Source organism: Homo sapiens, chromosome 3 (assembly GCF_000001405.40).
Source record: "Homo sapiens chromosome 3, GRCh38.p14 Primary Assembly".
Taxonomy (NCBI): Eukaryota; Metazoa; Chordata; class Mammalia; order Primates; family Hominidae; genus Homo; species Homo sapiens.
In genome coordinates, this window is record NC_000003.12 from 37357171 (window position 1) to 37367226 (window position 10056).

Consider the following 10056-nt stretch of genomic DNA (forward strand, 5'->3'; position numbering starts at 1 on the left):
GAAATGGTAGCTGATTTATTCTTCCTGAAAGAATCTTCCTTTATCCCAGAGGTTGACCTGCCCAGAAACAATGTTCTACTTTTCTACTATTCCTTTAAGCAAAGTCTCATCCATCATTATCTCTTGCTTAATGAATAAGTTCAGTCAACAGTCATCTACTCTTCTAGTTGTTATGGGAAATATAGGAAAATAGAAGATATGGAAGACATTGGTTGTTGACCTTGTGGAACTTTTAATTTTAGGGGGAAGGGGTAATATCCATTCATACATGAATAAAAAGATATGCTTAAGTAATATGATTCAAATAATAAAAATGGTGCTTAGGAAATATGAAATTTTATGATGAACATGAAATGAGGAAGTCCCCAAAATACGATATGAGATGACATGAATTAATCAATTTGAGTCAACTTTTGTCAATTTAAGGAGATTCTTGATACTTGATAATGTGACTCATGATTGTTTCACGAGTATAAGAAAGTTGAAGCAAGAGTTACCTTTGTCAGAGATTTCCATCATTCATAAAATGAGCAATAAGAATCACTGTCTTTGAACAAGTCTCTTGAAGAAATTTCAGCTAATTTCATATCCCTGTCCATTGAGCTGTAGCTCGCTAGAACAAAACACAGGTATGAAAATGATTTTTCTTTTTCCAATAGAAAGTGCACATGATGAAATGTGTAGAAAACAAAACTTTAGGAGTTTATTAAATAATCATTTTTAAATGATTTAATCACATTAATTTTAAATGTATGCTTCAAATGGATCTTTTCTGTAAGTTTTTGTAACTGTGCAGCTATGGTTTCACTTCTATTAAAATCAGCAACCCTAAGTGTTTTGTTATTTTTGCCTAAGGACTGAAAAGCTGGTATAAGAAAACCAAAACAAACCTAAAACATTTTGCCGAGCTGCCCCCTCTTCAAATTAGTATTTGGGATGCTTGCAAGAGTGTGGATTGTACTTTGTGTTGACAGCGTGCAGCCCATGTTAGTTTTTACATTATTTATTGGGTATTATCAGAGGAATACATTCTAAAATTTTTGCTTTTTGACCATGATGATTATACATTTACTTTGTAGCACTAATCAAAAGCTTTCTATGACTGCTGGTGAGGTACTTTTCAATATATCTTATCTTTACTATACTTCTCTCTCTTCAGTGAGTTTTATACTCTTTATTTAAAAAACCTCATTACAGGATACAAGTTATTACTGTTTTCAGAGTTTAACCTAGTCTCGAGTAGATTTTATAGATGAGAAATCACTATCTGTTAAGTAAGGTTAAATTACAGAGCATAATTACAGTCTGGTTTATTTGAGGGTCTTGGTGTATAGGGAAGGAATCTTAGTCCTTTGTTGACTTGCTGTGGAAACTCAGGCAATTCTCAGAGCCTCTTTTCTTCACAAGACTAACATAATCTTGTTAGGATTGTCCAGGAACCAGAGTACAGTTGCCTGCGCTGAGTGATAATGTAGGGATGGTGGTGATAATTATTTAGCCTCCTTTTAGCAATGTGTAGAACTAGTCTTTTCTGGAAAAAGAGACTGGAAAGGTAAATCATTGATGTGTATAAGAAAAACCATTAAAGACCTCAGTAGGAGGGTCAAGTCACACGGTGATACCAGCCCACAAAATGCCCCCATCTCCAACTTCGGTACCTTAGAGTGCCAGCGACATGCGACATTGCTGGGATGAGAGCCTAGATCTCAATGGTTTGACTGCTGTATAACTTAGCGCAAACTGTTTTCATATTTTTGACCCTCATTGGTAAAATGAGATTGTTGGATTATACTATCTCTAAGGTTTCTTTCCCCACAAAGTATAAAATCTTGTTTTATATTTGTTTCAAGTAGGAAAAAGAATTGCCTTCTAAACAGCAGGCAGAAGTTAAAACAAAATGCACATACCAAATGCACATATCTCTGTTTTTCCTAGAACAGCTTTTTTTCCCTCCTCTCAATTTTTAGTTTACTATACCTTGCTACTTCATTTTATGATGGTTTAGGTAGCTTAGATGGCCAGAGTAGACTGGATATTCGAGTAGCACAATATGGGCAAGAGTGAATACATAAGTTCTTGGCTCATCTAATTGTTAGTGTTTTTATTGAATAAAACTGCCCTAGAAGTACACCCTGATTTTTTTTAAAATGAGAGTATTATTACATTATTTAAGATAATTTCATTAGGAAAGTTTATTGTAATTGGGTAACAAGCATCTCAGAATTGAGATTCCTTTGTTATATGGAAACCCCTCTTTAAAAGTTTTCTTAGACATTTTTCTCTTTAGAGTGCTAGCAAAATGTAATGACATAAATGGACATCACTGTTTTCTTGATGACTCCATTAAAGAAAATTTCTCTTTGATGGAGAAGGTTGGCTTGTTTGTGTTCTCTGTCCATTCTAGTCATCTTTTTCAATTGCTCTTCTGTTGACTCTCCTTCAACTTTGCTTTCACACTGATTCTTGGTGGTGTATATAGTTCTTCATCAGTCCTTGCCCTGGACCAGTCTTGTGTTCTCTTAACGTCTCATTTTCTTCCCCTGTTGGAATTTTCAAAATTTCCTCCGAATTAATAAAATCAGAACTTTTCAGCATTGCTAGGTACAAAAGTTTTCCATTCCCACACGAGGTTTACCCTTTCCCTCTGCATGGGCTCAGAAGATGCATGCAAGGTGGGTTCAGGAAACACATACAAATAAAACTGACACATTATAGAAAATATTGCACATGTCAAATACATATTTGTTTTCTTGAGATTGGTTTTGATTCTGGTGTTGGTAGAATAAGGTAATACGTGATCACTGGAAAAAATATTATAAGCCAGAAACATAGAAAGGGAGTCCCTCATGATCTTCAGCCTCCAGACTACTTCTGCTATGCCAGTATCATCTCTGTGAACAGTTTGGGGAATATCTCCATGTTTTCTAAGCCATGTAATTACATATTTATAGTTACTCCTTTATCATTCATTTTATTTTATAAAAATGAGAGTATGCAATGGCTTGCTTTTTTCACTTAATATATTTTTATATTATTCCACCTTATTACAAATTGGTCTCATTCTTTTCAATGGCTGATTGTATGATTATATGGATGTCCTACAGTTTAGTTCACCAGTTTCCTCCTCATTCCATTTACTTATGTTTTCAAGATTTTCAGTACTTTACAAGCATAGACATAGGGAACATCCATATACATGGATTTTGTATACTTCTGCCAGAGAGGATATTAACCTCATTGTGTTGTGTGTGTTGCACATATTATTTTCTAGCTTGTCTTTTGGTTTTGCTGCTTTTTACTAACTTTAAATATGAAAGATAAATAAAATGATGTTTCTGAGGTTGGCCACACTATCCAAGAATAGACTCAGATTTTATAAGCAATCTTTGTTTTTAATGCTGCCATTTTAAATCACCGTGAAGGTAATTAATGATTTTGGACAATGACCATCTTAAAATGGGGCATAGAATTTATTTAAGGTTTGTCACAGTAAAAACTATATTTGAGATTGAGTTTCCTTAAATTGAAATTTCAGTTTGGGTCACCATTCCTGAAACCATTTCTGATACATTGTTGAATTACAAGAGAGTTATTCAGTGATCAAATTGACACATTAGGAATGAGAATTCAACATATAGACACATGGCTCTTCAAATTCATCATCATTTTCCCGAAAACTTTTTAGGGTAAATTGAGATTATGTAAATCAAATTTTAATGTGTACTTTCATGGAATTATGAAAGAGATCCTTTTGTAAAGCAAATAATTGCCCCGTAATTCAGCTGGTAAATATGTACTTAAAATATGCAGTACACCTTTCATTACGTTGTTTAAGTCTTCAAATGAAAGTTGCAAGTAAAATCTCAGCTACATAATATTATATTTACCTAGGATATGGGGGGAGGTATTACAGATTCCTTATTCCTTGCCTGTACACCCTTGATTTGGGGAGATTTGAGAAAAATTTAAGTACAGTCTGTAATCCTATGAACTTCATATACACATACAATCTATGTGTTATATTAAGTCTTAAAACTAACCCAATAAGCTTTTTTTCTTCCTGGCTTTGTAGTTTACTTCACCTCGCAGTGGTATCTTCTGAGTAAACCATCAGTCTGTGCTTAGTTAACATGTGGTGAGTGAAGAACAATGTCTTGTGTCTTTTGTGCAAAAATCAAATGTGTTGCCTGATACTAACCATTTTGCTGGAATTCTTTTGCTCTTGTTTAATAAATATATGATTATGCTATGGGTTAATATAAGTATTTTCTGTTCATTCTGTTATATGGATCGATAATAGTTAAAAATTACTACCACCAGTAAGAGTTATATAATTTTAGGAAATTTCATTTCTTTAAAGAGTAATTGAAAGTTTGAAAATTGCTCTTTGAAATTTTGTTAAAGAATCCAAAAAAGTATTTATGTAACTTATTTTCCCTTTTGTTTTTAATTTTCCAAGAATGATCTTTGAAATTATGATTGTGAGAGAGAAATGAAAAATCATTTTCTAGATAAAAATGAAGTGGTATATTCCGTGAGAATTCAAAATCCTGTAAAGCCTGAGTCAAGGCCAGTCAGAAATAATGAAAACTAGTAAGATCAATTTTAAAATATAGCTTCATTACTTCCTGAAATCAGACAGTTTAACACAAGACAACACATTTGTCCTGAGGAGACCGTTAGGCAGCCTACTTTAATTGAATGTGATTCTTCCTGATTAACATATTACAGTGAAATGCAGGCATATGAAATGTTTCAACGCAGTTGACTGTCTTCATCATTTAAACCCTCTCCCCTCATCTCTATGTATTTTTCATGCTATTAGGTTGATTTAGCACCCTCTGAAAATGTACCATACATCTTTACCTCAGCCTTTGCTAGAATTTTCACAAAATCAAAAACAGATCACAATTAGTAGGGCTTCACTATAATTAAAATAAATACTCTCAGTGATTGTTAATATCCAGCTAATAATAGTATCAAGGTTTAAAATGGCAAGATACAACATTTCTCCGTTCTTTTAAGCTTTTATTTATTTATTTATTTATTTATTTATTTATTTATTTATTATTTTTTTTTTTTTTGAGACGGAGTCTCGCTCTGTCGCCCAGGCTGGAGTGCAGTGGCGGGATCTCGGCTCACTGCAAGCTCCGCCTCCCGGGTTCACGCCATTCTCCTGCCTCAGCCTCCCAAGTAGCTGGGACTACAGGCGCCCGCCACTACGCCCGGCTAATTTTTTGTATTTTTTTTTAGTAGAGACGGGGTTTCACCGTTTTAGCCAGGATGGTCTCGATCTCCTGACCTCGTGATCCGCCCGCCTCGGCCTCCCAAAGTGCTGGGATTACAGGCGTGAGCCGCGCCCGGCCTTATTTATTTTTTTTTAAAAAATAAGTAAAGCCTTTATCACCCTGGCTGGAGGGCAGTAGTGTGATCATAGTTCATTCCTGTGTCAGCTCCTGGGCTCAAGGGATCCTCCCACCTCAGCCTCCCAAATAACTGGGACTCTAAGGCACCTATTTTTTTATTTTATTTTATTTTGTAGTGATGGTCTTGCATAGGCTGGTCTCGAACTCCTGGGCTCAAGCGATCTTCCTACCTCAGCCTCTAAGCTTTTTTTTTTTTTTTTTTTTGAGACGGAGTCTCGCTCTGTCACCCAGGCTAGAGTGCAGTGGCGTGTTTTTGGCTCACTGCAAGCCCCGCCTCCTGGGTTCACACCATTCTCCTCCCTCAGCCTCCTGAGTAGCTGGGACTACAGGTACCCGCCACCATGCCCAGCTAATTTTTTGTATTTTTAGTAGAGACAGGGTTTCACCGTGTTATTCAGGATAGTCTCGATCTCCTGACCTCATGATCTGCCCACCTTGGCCTCCCAAAGTGCTGGGATTACAGGCGTGAGCCACTGTGCCTGGCCCTCTAAGCTTTTATCTTTAAAAATCTTCTGTGCCTTCATTTGAGCCTCCTTTTGATTTTAATATATATTATTTGATTTGCCTTAGCGATTATCCAGAACTGTCTTATTTTTGTCATCCACATTACAATGGCTGGCAGTACAATGCATGGTTTTATTAGGTTACTTTGATAATAAATGTGAACATTGAAAAACTGTAAATTCTATAGCTAACCCATTAAGTCTTAATGTTTTCCTTTTAAAATAATACTGCATTGTACTTGTTATTATTGCAGCTGAATATCAATTATCACTGGAAATGTATATTGTGCAGCATTTCTATTAATTGATTAATTGATTGTCTCCTCAACTTTTAGTTTGAAACATTTCAGACATAAGATTTGCAAAAATAGTACAATGAACACCCATATACCCTTCACCTAGTAATGTTTGGCCAGATTTTCTGACTTGCTGTCACTCTTGTTCTCTCTCCATTTATATTATTCCCCATTTGTAACATTTGGCAATTACTTGCCGACATGCTTGCAAGCATTTGACAATTGTAAACATAAACTAAGTACTTTAGCATGTATCTTTAAGAACAAGGACATTTTTCTACATACAGTACAGTTATTACACTCAGGAAGTTTAATATTAGCTAATACTAATATATAGTACATAATACTCAGTTTTTTACAGTTTTCCAAATAATGTCTCCCATAATTTTTTAGAATCCAGGATCCACTTGAGATTTCACATTGCATTTAGTGGTCATATTTTCCTAGTCTTTTTTAAACTAGAAAACGTCTAGCTTTTTTGTTTTTAATGATGCAGCATTGTTGAACTGATCTTGAATTTTGTTTCCCACAACAGATCAAGCTACGGTTTCAAAATAAAAACTGACAAGGAATTTACGTATAACAGAAGATCTTGTTGGTGTCTTCTTTAGGTTCCTAGGACCAACATGATTATTGAACTAGTTTTATAAATAATATACTATTAGTAGTACATTATGAGTAGTGAAATATTTGTTCATTTACAAATTCAGAAGACTAAAACTCCCCCTATCCACTTAATATATATGGAAAGTTTGCCTCTATTAATCTTACTTGGTAATTTATTTTTATGGGATTTTAAACTCATATCTTGATGTGACTACTGGTTTTAGCATTTTCTTTTCCTTTTCTTTTTTTTATATTTGAGACGGAGTTTCACTCTTGTTGCCCAGGCTAGAGTGCAGTGGCGCAATCTCGGCTCACTGCAACCTCCACCTCCCAGGCTCAAGTGATTCTCCTGCCTCAGCCTCCTGAGTAGCTGGGGTTACAGGTGCCCGCCACCACACCCAGCTTATTTTTTGTATTTTTAGTAGAGACCGGGTTTCACCATGTTGGCCAGGCTGGTCTCGAACTCCTGACCTCAGGTGATCCACCTGCCTTGGCCTCCCATAGTGCTGGGATTACAGGCGTGAGCCACTGCTCCTGGCCAGCATTTTCATTTGAGAAACATTATGAGGAAGACTTTGGCTATGTCATAGCTTTTTTTTTTTTTTTTGCCCCCCAGCATGGTCACACCAGCCTAGAGTGCAGTGGCGTGAACACAGTTCACTGCAGCCTTGACCTCCTGGGCTCAAGGAATCCTCCCGCCTCAGCCTTCTGAGTAGCTGGGACCACAGACACATGCCACCACACCTAGCTATTTTTTTTAAAAAAAAGTTTGTAGATACAGGGTCTTGCCATGTTGCCCAGGCTGGTCTTGAACTCCTGGGCTCAAGCAGTCCTCTGACCCTGGTCTCCCAAAAGTGCTGGGATTATAGGCATAAGCCACCATGCCCAGCCAGCATTTCTAATTAATTTATTTTTTGAGACAAGGTGTCACTGTCGCCAAGCCTGGAGTGCAGTGGTACAGTCAGCTCACTGCAGCCTTGACTTCCCAGGCTCAAGCGATCCTCCTGCCTCAACCTCCTGAGTAGCTGGGACTACAGACACACACCATCATGCCTGTCTAATTTTTTCTATTTTTTGTAGCAATGGGATCTCACTATGTTGCCCAGGCTGTTTTTAATTTTTAAATTAAATTTCTTAATTCCAGATGAGACATAAATTTCCACACCAAAATGCTGTTTGTCTTTTGCTATTATGTCATGCTGGGAGAATTGCAATTTGTAGAATAATCAGCACACTGGATAAGAGGAAAGAGCTCTTTCTCATCTTTATTTTTTATTGTTTTTTTGAGGCAGTCTCTCACTCTGTTGCCCAGGCTGGAGAGCGATGGCATGATCTCGGCTTACTGCAACCTCCGCCTCCTGAGTTCAAGTGATTTCTCCTGCCTCAGCCTCCCGAGTAGCTGGGGTTACAAGCACCACCACGGCCGGCTAATTTTTTTGTATTTTTAGTAGAGACAGGGTTTTGCCATGTTGGCCAGGCTGGTCTCAAACTCCTGGCCTCAAGTGATCTTTCCACCTTGGCCTTCCAAAGTGCTAGGATTATAGGCATGAGCCACTGGGTCCAGCCTGTCATCTTTAATTCCAGTCCAATATTTGTGAGATTCAGCCAAGTCAGCGTGTTTACTCCTGGGTTACTGTATAAACTGGTAGCATTCGATATATGGTAAATGGTTGCAGTTCCAAATTTCACTTAGAAATGCCATTTTCCAGGATTGCTGACTATAGGTTGGTTTGCATCATTGCAAGAATGTTAATTTTTAGAAGATACCTTTAAGATTTAGTGTTTAGACAATTTCTACTTTTTTTTTTTTTTTTCAGAATGGGGTCTTGCTGTGTTGACCAGGCTGGTCTCGAACTCCTGGCCTCAAGTGATTCTCCCATCTTGGCCTCTCAAAGTGCTGGGATTACAGTCATGAGCTACCACACCCAGCCTTATTTCTGCCTCTTTACTGCAGTCTCTAGACCATGGAATAGAATTTTATTTCAAACTTGAAAAAACAAATATCCCAAAAAGTCAACCTAAATGTTTTGGATTTTTTTGCCCCCTTTCTTTATTCTCTTTTCCTTTTTCTTTTCCAGTCATGGCTCCGATCTTCATCTTGAAGAAGAGTGACATTGGGTGACTGCTGCTTGGAAAACTGTCCACACTTGCTACTCTTTGAGAATGAAGTTGTCATTCAGGGCCCCTCATGTAGCCAAAAGACCAAGAAAAATCTGGCCCACAGATAAGTTGCAGACTGCCTTTAAAATAGATTTTATCAGTGGAGAAATGGTGATAGTTTTTTCTTCAGTTTTCTCTTGGGAAGAGTTTTATGTTGTTTAAAAGATATTTTGATAACTTAACCTGCTTTATGGGCTTACATAATATTCCTTTCATCCATTCTTTTTAAAGAACGGCTTACCTTTCCTATTTATTTTTAGGGTGATTTTTTAAAAAGACTTGTGCAATACATTTTGAGGTGAAACTTAGTGGATTTTTTCTGATAAATTAGAGCATTTAATTGACTATTTTATTCAGGTTGATCTGTTGAATATTTGCTAAAGACCAGTTCTTTAAGCTAAGACATGTAAAAAATCCCAAATGGCAGTACCTCATTGTTTACTTAGCTTTTGTACTTATATTTTTCAGAGGAAAAAACACTACTGTAAATTGTGAATAGCCAATACATAACTGTATTGTATGCAAATCTGTGATTGTTGGCAGTGTCATCTCTGAGAAACAGATAAATAAAGTTTATTTACTATATAACATTTGTTTATTGTACTTGTTCCTCAGTTGAAATCTATTTTAAAATGTTTAAGAATGCATATTCTATTTGGATGAATTTAGTGAGGAATTATTTGTCAATATAACTAAATGCTGAGCATTTGAAAAGAATTTTCACGTTCAAATTTGGTATGACCAAGTTAGAAGGAGCATGGAAATAAATACTCCATGATGTCTGCTTTAGGATTCTGACAACTTGGGAATGCCTCCTCTCTCTGGAATAGACCATACTTGAATTATTTTTTAACTTGGTGAAAGAGAAATTTCTGCACACTGAGAGATGGGTACTGTTCAGAGGGCTTCACACACCCTTCATATTCTAGGAAATACAATACTCAATATCTAGGTATTATCTAATCTCTGCCTCAAGGTAGAATCTCAGTTTTCCAGCCAGTCTGGACCTTAGCTCCTGATGTATCTTACATTGTGATAGAGTGGGGAGTTCTGGGGGATAGATAA

General features: G+C 36.6%; 1 protein-coding gene across 23 annotated transcripts in view; it reads left to right on the top strand.

Annotated features, from left to right (window-relative positions):
- GOLGA4 (golgin A4) overlaps positions 1–9709 on the top strand; it is a 123609-nt gene extending 113900 nt beyond the window's left edge. For 12 of the 23 annotated variants that reach the window (XM_047447981.1, XM_047447980.1, XM_024453457.2 and 9 more), the window contains 2 exons: positions 4073–4135; positions 8910–9709. In XM_047447981.1, coding sequence (XP_047303937.1) covers positions 4073–4102 — 30 coding nt within the window. In that variant the 3' untranslated portion in view covers positions 4103–4135; positions 8910–9709. The remainder of the gene's footprint in view (positions 1–4072; positions 4136–8909) is intronic. The other 11 variants (NM_001429190.1, NM_001410721.2, NM_001172713.3 and 8 more) reach the window with 3 other exon arrangements.